The sequence below is a fragment of the Homo sapiens genome, chromosome 20 (genome assembly GCF_000001405.40).
Source record: "Homo sapiens chromosome 20, GRCh38.p14 Primary Assembly".
NCBI classification, from domain to species: Eukaryota; Metazoa; Chordata; class Mammalia; order Primates; family Hominidae; genus Homo; species Homo sapiens.
The window spans coordinates 29,399,427-29,412,507 of record NC_000020.11 but is presented as its reverse complement, the minus strand read 5'-3'; the positions used below and the strand labels follow the sequence as shown (position 1 = coordinate 29,412,507).

The 13,081-nt window shown below is 45.9% G+C and overlaps 1 long non-coding RNA gene and 1 pseudogene across 3 annotated transcripts, besides 1 other annotated feature; both read left to right on the top strand.

The window, feature by feature from the left end:
• Positions 1–13,081: part of a centromere (Linear centromere model derived predominantly from reads generated in PMID: 17803354. This region does not represent an actual centromere sequence, as long-range ordering of repeats and unmapped WGS contigs is not provided by the model. For details of model production, see http://arxiv.org/abs/1307.0035.) that runs on past both edges of the window.
• Positions 696–2,224, top strand: DUX4L34 (double homeobox 4 like 34 (pseudogene); annotated as a pseudogene).
• LOC105379476 (uncharacterized) lies at positions 5,765–10,733 on the top strand. Of its 3 annotated transcripts, none has more exons than XR_951060.4 (3): positions 5,765–5,879; positions 7,595–7,711; positions 10,626–10,733. It is a non-coding gene; the product is annotated as an uncharacterized LOC105379476 (long non-coding RNA). The 3 variants fall into 3 exon arrangements; XR_951058.4 differs by having other exon boundaries at positions 7,595–7,960; XR_002958556.2 differs by lacking the exon at positions 10,626–10,733 and adding an exon at positions 7,799–8,438.

Sequence of the window (13,081 nt, the reverse complement as noted above, 5' to 3'; positions counted from 1 at the left end):
CCCAGAGAGCAGTGAGCCGAGACTCGGGTGATTGTCCGTTTTTCATCCACATGGTTCACAGATGAGATAGCCCCACGTTGAGCCTGCAACAGAGCGCGAGGCGGATAGTCCCGTCCACACAGGAGTCACATTCAGGGCCACTCCTTTGCCCTCTGCAAGGGGGCCTGTTGTTCACATGTCTCCGGCCCCCAAAAGCGTGACCATGTTGACTATTTGTTTCCCGAGCTCTGTGGGGACCCAGAAACCTCCAGCGAAGCGTGGAAAAGCAGCATCCTGTCTTCGCTCTCCTTTCCAGTTTCCAAACAGGCCACAGTGGAGACTTCCCTTGTTGCAGGAAACAGGAATCTGTGGTCAGGCCGTGATGCACGGGACGTTTTTCTCTGTAGTTTCGCTCTCGTTTTCTACATGAAAATGAACGAGATCCATACCCCTGCGTGTGTGAGACTATCAGGGCAACGGCGACACCCACAGGCATTGCCGCCTTCACGGAGAGGGCCTGGAAAACTCAAGACTGTCATGGAAGTTCAGTTCCACACTCCACCCTTCGGGGTGGTTTCTGCCTGAAAACTGTGGGAGTCAAGAGAGCGGCTTCCAGTTTCCATAGAATTACTGGAGAACCCAGAGAGCCAGCCCCCGAAGCCCCTTTTTCCCCTCTAATCTGGCCCTACACCCACCCACCCCACAAGGCCCTGGTCCCTGTGGTTTTCGGCTTTGGAGGGCGGGCTACCCCGGGACCTTGGGCCCCGAGCTCATGCATGTTCATAACGGGGTGGAGGTGGTAGGTCTTTCTAACGGCCTCCGAGCTGGACCTGCCTGCAGCGCAGAGGCCAGCTGAGGTGCACGGGAGCCCACCGGCCTCTCTCTGCCCGTGTCCGTCCGTGAAATTCCGGCCGGTGCTCTCCCGGCGATGGCTCTCCCGACACCTTCTGACAGCACCCTCCCCGCGGAAGCCCGAGGACGAGGACGGCGAAGGAGACTCCTTTGGACCCCGAGCCAAAGCGAGGCCCTGCGAGCCTGCTTTGAGCGGAACCCATACCCGGGCATCGCCACCAGAGAAAGGCTGGCCCAGGCCATCGGCATTCCGGAGCCCAGGGTCCAGATTTGGTTTCAGAATGAGAGGTCACGCCAGCTGAGGCAGCACCGGCCGGAATCTCGACCCTGGCCCGGGAGACGCGGCCCGCAAGAAGGCAGGCGAAAGCGGACCGCCGTCACCCGATCCCAGACCGCCCTGCTTCTCTGAGCCTTTGGGAAGGATCGCTTTCCGGTCATCGCCACCAGGGAAGAACTGGCCAGAGAGACGGGCCTCCTTGAGTCCAGGATTCACATCTGGTTTCAGAATCGAAGGGCCAGGCACCCGGGACAGGGTGGCAGGGCACCCGCGGACGTAGGCGGTTTTTGCAACGCGGCCCCCGGCAGGTGTCAGCGTGCTCCCTCCTCTATCGAGTTCACCCACACTGGGGCGTGGGGAACGGCGCTTCCCGCACCCCACATGCCCTGCGAGCCTGGGGCTCTCCCACAGGGGGCTTTCGTGAGCCAGGGAGCAAGGGCCGTCCCCCTGCTCCAGCCCAGCCAGGCCTCGCAGGCAGAAGGACTCTCCCAACCTGCCCTGGCACGCGGGAATTTGAGTTCCCTGCCCTGGCTCCTCCGGAAGTGGGACTGTCCCACCCTGAGACTACTCGGAGGCCTCCGCACCCCAACAAATGCCAAGAGGACCAGGACCCGCAGCGCGACGGCCTGCTGGGCGCGTGCTCAGTGGGACAGCTTGGGCCCCCTCAAGCTGAGTCACAGGGGCAAGGTGTGCTTGCACCACCCATGTCACACCAGAGTCCGCGGTGGGGCTGGAGCCCCAGGTCGCCAGGGCGGCGTGGGAACCCGAAGACGGGGCACCTCCACTTCCGAAGCTCGCGACCCCGGAGGCCTCCGCGTCAAGCACAGATGCCAGCCATCAAGGCGCCTCCCAACCGTTCCAGGAGCCAGGGCGCTCGTCTACACTCACCTCCAGCCTGTTAGATGAGCTCCTGTCAACCCCAGAGTTTCAGCAAAAGGCACAAACTTTCCTAGATCCGGTGTCACTTGGGGAGCTGAAGGAGGTGGAAGAGCCCGCTCCGCTGAACCACTCCTCAGCCAGGAAGAACACCGGGCTTGCTGGAGGAGCTTTAGGACCCGGGGTTGGGGCGGGGCGGGACGGGGCGGGGGCAGGGCGGCTGCCTCTCTTTCGCGGTGAACCTCTGGCTCGGTATGGAGAGGCATATCTTCCCTTCCAGCTGACCTGCCTAGGATACCTGAGTTCCAGGTCTGGCGAGTGACTCCACACAGATGAGGGCTGTCATTCTTTCCTGAGTATCCCGGGGATCCCAGGGCCCGTCCAGGTACCGGGAGGTGTACTGTCTACTGCTCATGCGCGGGTTTGCAGGCCGCAGCCTAGGTTTTCTAACCAGCCCAGGCGGAGCTCTCATCCCTGTTCCCCGCGCGTTCTTTAGTCGGGTTGGCGGAGTCCTCGGTCCGCGAAACACTGGGTTGGGGCAGAAGCCAGGCCAGTTCTCCTTTCTGCAGCTTGATTCCTCTGCCTCTTCGCTCACAATCACTTGCCAACCCGTGTCCTGCCAGCCTCCTTGCCAGCACCATGGAGCGCCTTGTAACTAAAGACCCGAGACCCCTTGCAAACCGGGGTGCTGCCCTTTCTAGGCAAGAGGCAAGGCAGGCAGAGATGAGGACAGGAACGGAGACAGAGTGGGACGGAAGGATGGAGCTAGGAAAGGATGGATGGACTGAGAGACTCTGGAAGGGAAAGAGGGAGGGAGGGAGAAAGGGAGGAAAAAACCAGGGGAGGGAGGGAAGAACAGAGGGAAGGATGGACCCAGGGACAAAAGGAGCAAGAAACAGTTTTAAAGGAAGGCAGAGAGAAAAACGGTCTTCTGCGTCCAGAACCAACAGGACCCAGCACTCCGGGAAAATGTTGGGTGCCCAGTGCGGGCTAAGTGCTGGGCCCACAGCCCCTTTGGCCAGCGGGGCGCTCAGCGGCCCTCCGGATCGCCAGCCTGGGTTACTTCATCCCGGAGCGATTCAGACCAATTCCGTTTCCGAAGGAATGAGCGAATTCCCCAGAGAGCAATGAGCCGAGACTCAGGTGGTTGTCTGTTTTTCATCCACATGGTTCACAGATGACATATCCCCACGTGGAGCCCTGCAACAGAGCGCGAGGCGGATAGTCCCATTCACACAGGAGTCACGCTCAGGCCAAGTAAAGCGTGATTCTGGATTCCACGTTTCTTTGCTCTCTGCAAAGGTGCCTGTTACTCAAGTCTCTGCCGCCCCCCGAAAGCGTGACCATGTTGACTGTTTCCCGAGCTCTGTGGGGACCCAGAAACTTCCAAGAAAGCGTGGAAGACCAGCATCGTGTCGGTGCTCTCCTTTCCAGTTTTCAAACAGGCTATATGGGAGACTCCGCATTTTGCAGGAAACAGGAATCCATCCTCAGGCCGTGATGCACCTGACGTTTCTTTTCTCTGTGCTTTCGCTCTCATTGTCTACATGAAAATGAACGAGATCCACACACCTGCATGTGTGAGACTATCACGGCAACTGTGACACCCACGCGCTGGCAATAGAGTCGGCAGCCTGATCCCGTGACAAAGGTACTGACGGACATCCAGACACGCCCCACCACAATCACTAGCAAACCCACTCCCAAACACACAGACACACACGGGTGCACGCGCGGGAACACAAGCATACACGCAGACACACAAAGACACAGACAGCTTGAAGAAGAGCAAGGGACAGAGGGATGGAGAGAGAGAAACAGCGATCGAGAGAGAGAGAGAGAGAGAGAGAGAGAGAGCGGGCAAGGTGGAGAGGGAAGTAGAGAAAGGGAGAGGGTGAGGGAGCTAGAGAGGGATAGCAACAGAGCCTTGGAGAGGGAGGCTCTGCTCTGGTATACAGGGGACCCTTTGGCCAGGGTAGGGTGGAGGGTGCCTGGGCCGGGCTGGAACAGGGGGGCAGGGCCGCCCAAGCGGGAAAACCAGCGGAACCCTGAAACGTGTTTTTACTTGGATTGGTTGGTGGCTTTGGGGGTGCGTTTCCTAGCGTCATTCCTTTGTTGGCTTCTCCCTGTCCTCTTGGTGCTGTGGGCCCTAAAAGTTGTGGAGTGCGCCTGTCCCTGTGGCGGGAGCAGTGGCGCCGAGCGTGCCACGGGCCGCCGCTTGGGTTTCTCTCGTGTTCAGAGTGGTATGGCCGTAGACAATGGCAGTAGACAAGAGCCCGGTCCAGCTACGCGCGCCTGATTCAAGGCGTCATAACCAACCCGGGGCCACGAGGCTGGGATCAGGCACCCTGCAGCCGCTTGCGGGTGGCCTGGCTGCTCTCCCCGTCTCAGCCCAAACACCACCAGTCGCCGAGCTGCGCTTTCCGCCGGCCTCCCTGAGCGTCCCGCCGTCGCCGGGGGCCAGGCCTGGCGCAGGACCAATGTGGCGCAGCCCTGCTGTTGCTGGGGGGCGCCGGAGGCCTCCGTCCCTTGCCCAGGCTTCTGGCTCTCCAGGCTGCCTCCCTTCCGCCCACGCTCCAGGGCTTCCCCGGCTCCCGAGCTCCGAGCTTCCACCACATCGGCCGGCTCAGGACAGGTGTGCTCATCCCTTCACTTTTTAACTGTTTGTTGTTTCTATTTATATTTTATTGTGCTATGTCTTGAAATGTTGTTGTAGTTATTACTTTTGATTGGATATTATTTAGTATTCCTACTTTGAATAAGAGTAGTTTGCACACCACACAGCTATAGTGTTACAATATTCTGTTTTGTTTTGTATCCTATTAGCAGTGAGGATTTTTTTTTACCTTTAGGTGATCATTTATTGCTCATTAATGTCCTTTTCTTCCTGATTGAAGTACTCTCTTTAGCATTCCTTTAGGACAGACATGGTATTCATAAAATACTTCAGCTTTTGTTTGTCTGGAAAAGTCAGTATTTCTTCTTTTTATTTGAAGAACATTTTCACTGTATATGCTATTCTAAGGTGAAAGTTTTTTTCCTTTAGTACTTTAAATGTTTATTGTTTCTCTCTCCCGGCCGGTAGGCTTTCCACTGTAAAGTCTGCTGCCAGATGTGTTGGAGCTCACCGGTATGTTACTTGTTTCCTTTCTCTTTCTTCCTTTAGAACTTTTCTTTATCTTTGACTTTTGGAAGATCTATTGAATGCTTTGAAGTAGTCTTTTTTGGGTTAAATCTGCTTAATGTCCTATAACATTTTTGTAGTTGGATATGGATATCTTTCTCTAGGTTTGCAAAGTTTTTTGTCATTATCCCTTTGAATAAATTTTTCTACCCCTGCCTCTTTCTCTACATCTTCTTTAAAACCAATAACTCTTAGATCTGTCTTTGTGAGGCTATTTTTCTAGATCCTGTAGGCATGATTTGTTGTTTTTATTCTTTTTCTTTTTCTCTTCTGACTATGTATTTTCAAATAGTCTGTCTTCAAGCTCACTATTTCTTCTGCTTGATCCATTCTGCTATTAAATGGCTCCAATGCATTCTTCAGCATGCCAATTGCATTTTTCAGCTCCAGAATTTCTGCTTAATTTGTTGTAACTATTTCAGTCTCTTTGTTGAGTTTAGCTGATAAAATTTGGAATTTCTTTACTTTGTTATCTTAAAGTTCTTTCAATTTTTTTTTAAATACAGCTATTTTAAATTATCTGTCTGAAAGGTCACATATCTCTTTTTCTCCATTATTTGTCCCTGGTGCCTTATTTAGTACGCTTGGTGAGGTCATGTTTTCCTGGATGGTGTTGATGCTAGTAGATGTTCTTCAGTGTCTGGACATTAAAATCTTGGGCATGCAGCACCATATGAGAGGTTTAAAAAATAAAATTAAAAAAGAGAAAAGGTGAGTATTTATTGTAGTCTCCATTGTCTGGGCTTATTTGTAGCTGTCTTTCTTGGGAAGACTTTTCACATATTTGAAAAGACTTGGGTGTTGTGATCTAAGCCATATCTGCTTTATGGGTACCTTCTCTGAGTCTTCCAGACTCAGAGAAGTACCACCTTGACAGCCTTCAACAAGATCCAGGAGAATTTTCTGGATTACTAGCCAGAGACTCTTGTTCTCTACCGTTATTTTCTCTCAAAGATACAGAGTCTTTCTCTCTGTTCTAAGCCACCTAAAGCTGGGAGAAGAAAGACACAAGCATCCCTGGCCACCAGCACTATGACTGCCCTGGATCAGACCTGAAGTTAGCACAGCACCGGGTCTTGCTCAAGTCCTGCTGCATGCACTTTCTGACGACTGCCTATGTTCACTCAAGGCCTTTGGTCTCTATAATTAGCAGGTGGCAAAGCCATCCAGGCCTGTGTTCTTTCCTTTAGGGCAGTGAGTGCCCTCAGTCCCTGGCTGGGTCCAGAAGTGCCACTCAGAAGTCAGGGAGTAGAGTCAAAAATTTTAGAAGTCCACTTGACATTCTATTGCCTTGCAGCTGATCTGGCACTCAAACCACAAGACATAGTCCTTCCTATTCCTCCCTTCCTTTCCTAAAGGCAGGGTAGCCACCACCACCTCAGGCCACAATGAGTACTGCCAGGCTACCACCAATGTTCCCTTAAGGCCCAAAGCCTCTTGTCAGCTTGTGATGAATGCTGCCTGGCCTGGGACTTGCGTTTTCAGGACAATGGGATCCCTACTGGCCCTGGGGAGCTTCATAAATGCCAACCAAGAATCAAGTCCTAGAATCAGGGATTCCAAAAGTTCGCTTGGTGCTCTACCCACCTCTGGCCTTGCTGGTACCTAAGGGGCAAGACAAAGTCCACTTTAATTTTCCCTCTACTTTTCCCAAGAAGAAGGAGTTTTGCCTTTTAGCCACCAGAGCTGGTAATGTGCTGAGTTCACCTAAATCTAACAAGTCTATGAGAGTCATCCAAGGCCCTTGATGTAGTACCTGGGTATGGCTGCTGGTTATTCAGAGCCCAAAGATTTTCAAGTTTGCAGGCAATAAATCCTGCCAGCACATGGTCCTTTTCTTCAAGGCAGCAGGTTTCCTTCTGGCCCAGGGTGTGTCTAGGAATATCTAGGAGCCAGAGACTGGAAAGGAGGTTGCAGGATTCTGACCAGTGCACTATCTTGCTGTGGCTGAGCTTGTGTCCAGGATGAAAGACAAATACTCCCTATTCTTTTCCCTCCTCTCCTCAAGCAGAAGGATGAGGTCCCTTTTGGAGCCATGAGCTGTGCAATCTGGTGTTAGTGGAATGATAATGCCAGAAGTCCTTTGGCTGCCCCAGCTGGTGTCTCAGTATGTTGCATGCCCTCCCCACCAAGTCCACTGTCTCTGGGCCCGGTTCAGCCCTAGGCCTCACCTAAGAGTTGCAGTCCTGATGGCCTAGGCTGCCTTTCAAGTTTTCTTAGACACACAGAGTGCGGGAGCCCTTAGTTGCCAGGTTTCCAAACACTGAAGTTCCAACCACTGGAATCTGATTCTCCTCTGGCTGGGGCTGGTTTAATTGATCCCTCTGTAGATGGGCATTAACTGCACTTGGTCTGGTTTTCCTTTCAGCTCTAACAGGACAGCACTGGGTGCAGTGCCTCACAATTGCTGTGTCTCCCTCCCGCAGAACCCAGAGTTGATCTCTGCAGCATGCCATCACTGCTGGGGATGAGGAAACGGTGATTTCAGGACTGTTTTTTCTGTCTCTTCAGTGCCTCTTTCAGTGATCTCAGGTTAAAACCAGGTACTTTGAGTACTCATCTGATCTTTGGTTCCTATGAATGTATTTTCTATGTGGATATTAATAGTTGTTCATCTGGTGTCCTTGCAGGAGGGACAATCAGTGGAGCCTTCTTTCTGCCATCTTGCTTTACTCTCACACCCAAGAATCAGAATTCAGAACTTTTAATAAGAAAAGCTTTCAGAACTCAGGAAGGACAAGGAAGACATTCTGGTTCTCCATGCTTAACATTGGACTCTTTCTTCAACTTAGGTGCATAGCACTGACTAATCAGGGATTATCATAGATAATTTGACTTGGACTATGCCGTTCATTCAAATTCTTTATCTAGACAATTTAAGTACTAGCTGATTTGGCATGAAAATCTGGCAAAGTGTTTTCTTGGTATTCAATTGATTTTTATTCTGCTTGGGTTAGCAGTTGTATTAACCAGTTAGTCTCTTCATTAAAGTTCTGGGAATTCTTACCCAGTTCAAATAATATCATTCTAAAGTTCTCAAAAACCTGTATTCAAGAGTGCTTCTCAGGGCCTTCTCCATCCTTTCATGAACCTCCTTAAGGATACAATATTCCAGGATTTTGCAAGCTTGTAAAGTTTTCAGAAACTGCCTCAGAATTAAGCAATTTACTGTAGAAATCACTTTAAGTTGTCATAGTCAGATACAATTGACAAGAAAATTTTATTATTTATAGGCATGAGCCACAGCGCCTGGCCTCTAAAGCTAATTTAATAAAACTTTATAAATGCATTTATCAAATTTTGTTATCTTTTAATCCCAGATTTTTGTGAACCTATGCTTTGCATTTTCCCCCAACTTTCTATATTTATCTAGTTTTATCTAGTTTTTTTACTTCTTCAATTTGAAACCTTTAAGTAACTTCAAACCAAAAAAAAATTAAAACACAGTTTTATGGATTTATAAGTTTTATCATCAAAAACATATTTTCACAATCCTATAGTCCCAACAATTTGGGAGGCCAGGGCAGGTGCATCACTTGAGGTCAGGGGTTCAAGACCAGCCTGGTCAACATGGTGAAACTCTGTCTCTACTAAAAATACAAAAATTAGCTGGGTGTGGTGGAGAGCACCTGTAATCCCAGCTACTTGGGAGGCTGAGGCAGGTGAATCACTTGAACCGGGGAGGCAGAGGTTGTAGTGAGCTGAGATCATGCCACTGCATACCAGCCTGGGCAACAGAACAAGACTCAGTCTCAAAAAAGAAAAATAAGGCATATCTTGCTTTTTATACACTCTGTATGCAGAATTGTTTCTCTCGTATCTAGTAATTAAGTCTTAGGAGTCCCAATATTCAATGAAACCCCTACAAAGTGATTTCTCAACTGTCTTATGTCAGTATTTTTAGATAAAAACCATTTTACAACTTTTAAGAAATATAATTCTTCAAATTACTGTTTATTAACAGAACTAAAGATATTTAGGTTTTCTGTACCATATTCAAGTAACATGTCATGGTATATAGAACTAAACTAATTTTTAATGGTTAATATTTCACTATTTTAGCTTACAAATGACTCAAGATATTTTACGGCTATTACTTAATTTAATGTGAATTTAAGATTTTAAATTACTGAACAGAATTTTGAAACCATGACACAGGTAGCATCCATAATGTCTTCCCTCAGTAATTTTAGGTCCCAAGTAGCCACATGGCACCCAGGAAAACTGTGAAGATCAGGGCCTGCCTGAGTCCATTAGGACTAAAGACAGAGCTGTGAAGACTATACCTGGAGGATCCAACCCCTTCTAAAATAGCCAGAAGGCAAAACAGGGAAAGCATGGAAAGAAGGGGCCGATTTGGGCTTGATTCTGGCTTTTAGCTGCTGATCTAGGCACTGAGAACGTGTCTCCGTACTTCATCATGGTCACCTATCAAGACCCCCTGAATCCAGAAACTCTCAACGGAAGATATAAGCTCACAGTTAAATCAAGCAAATATCTAATTATTTTTAATGGATAATTATAAAGCCATTTCTATTTTACTAATGATTTAAGAATGAGCTTTTACAAAATATTATCACATACATGTAACACATATAGACATACAAACACACAGGAGCAGATCTTATAGCTTTCATAAAGGATTAAAAAATTTTTTATTTTAGGCTCGGGGGAACAGGTGAAGGTTTGTTACATAGACAAACTCGTATCACAGGGGCTTGTTATACAGATTATTTCATAACCCAGGTATTAAGCCCAATACCCCATAGTTATCTTTTCTGTTCCTTTCCCTCTTCCCACCTTCCCCCCTCAAGTAGACCCCAGTGTCTGTTGTCTGTTGTTTCCTTCTTTGTGTTCATAAGTTCTCATTATTTAGCTCCCACCTATAAGTGTGAACACATAACTGCATAGTATTCCATGGTGCTTATGTGTGTTCTGTGTGGGAAATGTGTGAGGAAAGAAGAAAAGAAACACACAATACTTTTAAGGGTAAACAGACTTTATCCCAAGTATATGGCAATATAGATATAATAAGCAAATGATACAATAAACAAATTGTAATGGGAAGGGGAGAAGGGAAAATGTGTATATATATGTGTGTGTGTATATATATGTAATATATATACGTATATATGTGTATATATATGTAATATATATACGTATATTTGCATATATATGTATATGTACATATACGTATATATGTACATATATCTATATATGTACATATATACGTATATGTACATATATACGTATATATGTACATATATCGATATATGTACATATATCTATGTACATATATCTATATATGTACATATATACGTATATATGTATATACATATATGTGTGTATATATACGTATGTATGTGTATATATATGTGTGTATATATATATATATATATATATATATATATACACACACACACATATATATATATATTTTTGTTTTACACTCGCCAGACTATGGAGGATTCATCACCAGACCAGGAAGCAACAGCCTGGGCTCCAGAGTTGGCCAGCAGTCCATGCACAGACGAGGAGAGGTCCCATGAACCTTCAGCGTGGTCTGGGAACCGAGCTCTTTTTGTAACAAGTTGTTTGTCATGAGGCCCAGTCCTGAAGGCCCTTCGTGACTGGGCTCAAGGAATACAAAAAGTCAACTTGTTTTTGCCATTGTCTGTTGTTTTTCAATAACTACTTAATAATACAATAATAACAACTACAATACTAAATACAATACAATAAAAATACAATAATAAAAAAATACAAAAATATACAATAATAAAAACTACAATAATAACAACACTGGATGAATGCCTCAAGGGGCTCACACAACTCGTTCCAGGACTTAGTGACCATTGTTTCTGTCCCTGTTCAATAGAGATCAAGTTTAATATTTAAATTTTCCTGCACAATGTGCCATATTATCTGTATCCAATCTGTCATTGGGCATTTAGGTTGATTCCGTGTCTTTACTATTGTGAATAGTGCTGCAACATTTATGTTCTTGTGTCTTTATGATAGAACAATTTATACACCTCTGGGTATATACCCAGTAATGAGATTGCTGGGTCAAGTGATAGTTCTGCTTTTATATCTTTCGAGGAGAACACTGTTGTGCTTTCCACAATGGTGGGACCAATGTACACTCCCACCAACTGTGTGTGTGTTCTCTTTCTCCACAACCTTGCCAGCATCTGTTATTTTTTTACTTTTTCATAATAGCCATTCTGACTAGTGTGAGATGGTGTCTCACTGTGCCTTGGATTTGCATTTCTCTAATGATCAGTGATATTGAGCTTTGTATTCTATGGTTGTTGGTCACATGTATGTATTCTTTTGAAAAGTGTTCATGTCCTTTGCCCACTTTTTAAACATTTTTTTATTTCCATAGGTTTTAGGACAACAGGTGGCATTTGGTTACATTAGTAAGTTCTTTATAGATTTGTAAGATTTTGGTGCATCCACCACCTCATCTGAATACACTGAACCCAATTTGTAGCCTTTTATCACTCACACCGTTCTCCCATTTCTCCCTGAGTCCCCAAAGTCTATTGTGTCATTCTTAAGGTTTTGAATCCTTATAGCTTAGCTCCCAATTATAAGTGAGAATATATGATGTTTGGTTCTCCATTCCTGAGTTACTTCACTTAGAATAATAGTCTTCAATCCCATCCAGGTTGCTGCAACTGCCATTAATTCATTTCCTCTTTATGGCTGAGTAGTATTCCATTGTGCATATATACCATGATTTCTTCATCCACTCATTGATTGATGGGCATTTGGATTGGTTCTATATTTTTGCAATTGCAAATTGTGCTGCTATAAATATATGTGTGAAGGTATCTTTTTTGGATAATGACTTTTTTTTTCCTCTGGGTACATAGCCAGTAGTGGGATTGGTGGGTCAAATAGTACTTCTACTTTTAGTTCTTTAAGGAATCTCCACACTGCTGTCCATAGTGATTGTACTAGTTTACATTCCAACCAGCAGTGTAGAAGTGTTTCCTTTTCACTACATTCACACCAACATCTATTTTTTTTTTATTATGACCATTCTTGAGAGAATAAGGTGGTATCACATTGTGGTTGTAATTTGCATTTCCCTGATCATTAGTAATGTTGAGCATATTTTCATATGTTTGTTGGCCATTTGTATATCTTCTGAGAATTGTCTATGACCATACTGCCAAAAGCAATCTACAAATTCAATGCAATTGCCATCAAAAAACCATCATCATTCTTCACAGAACTAGAAAAAACAGTCCTAAAATTCATATGGAACAAAAAAGAGCCCACATAGCCAAAGCAATACTAAACAAAAAGAACAAATCAGAAGGCATCACATTACCTGATTTCAAACTGTATCATAAGACCATAGTCACCAAAACAGCATGGTTCTGGTATAAAAACAGGCACGTAGACAAATGGAACATAATGGAGAACCCAGAAATTAACCCAAATATTTACAACCAACTGATCTTTGACAAAGCAAACAAAAACAAAGTGGGGAAAGAACACCCTACCCAACAAATGGTGCTGGGATAATTGGCAAGCCACAAGTAGGGGAATGAAACTTGATCTTTATCTCTCACCTTATACAAAAATCAACTCAAGATGGATCAAGGACTTAAATCTAGGACCTGAAAGTATAAAAATTCTAGAAGATGACATCAAAAACACCCTTCTAGACATTGGCTTAGCAAGGATTTCATGACCAAGAACCCAACAGCAAATGCAAGAAAAACAAAGATAAATAGGTGGGATTTAATTAAACTAAAGAGCTTTTTCACGGCAAAAGGAACAGTCAGCAGAGTTAACAGAAAATCCACAGAATGGGAGAAAATCTTCACAATCTGTATATCTGACAAAGAAATAATATCCAGAATCTACAACGAGCTCAAACAAATTAGCAA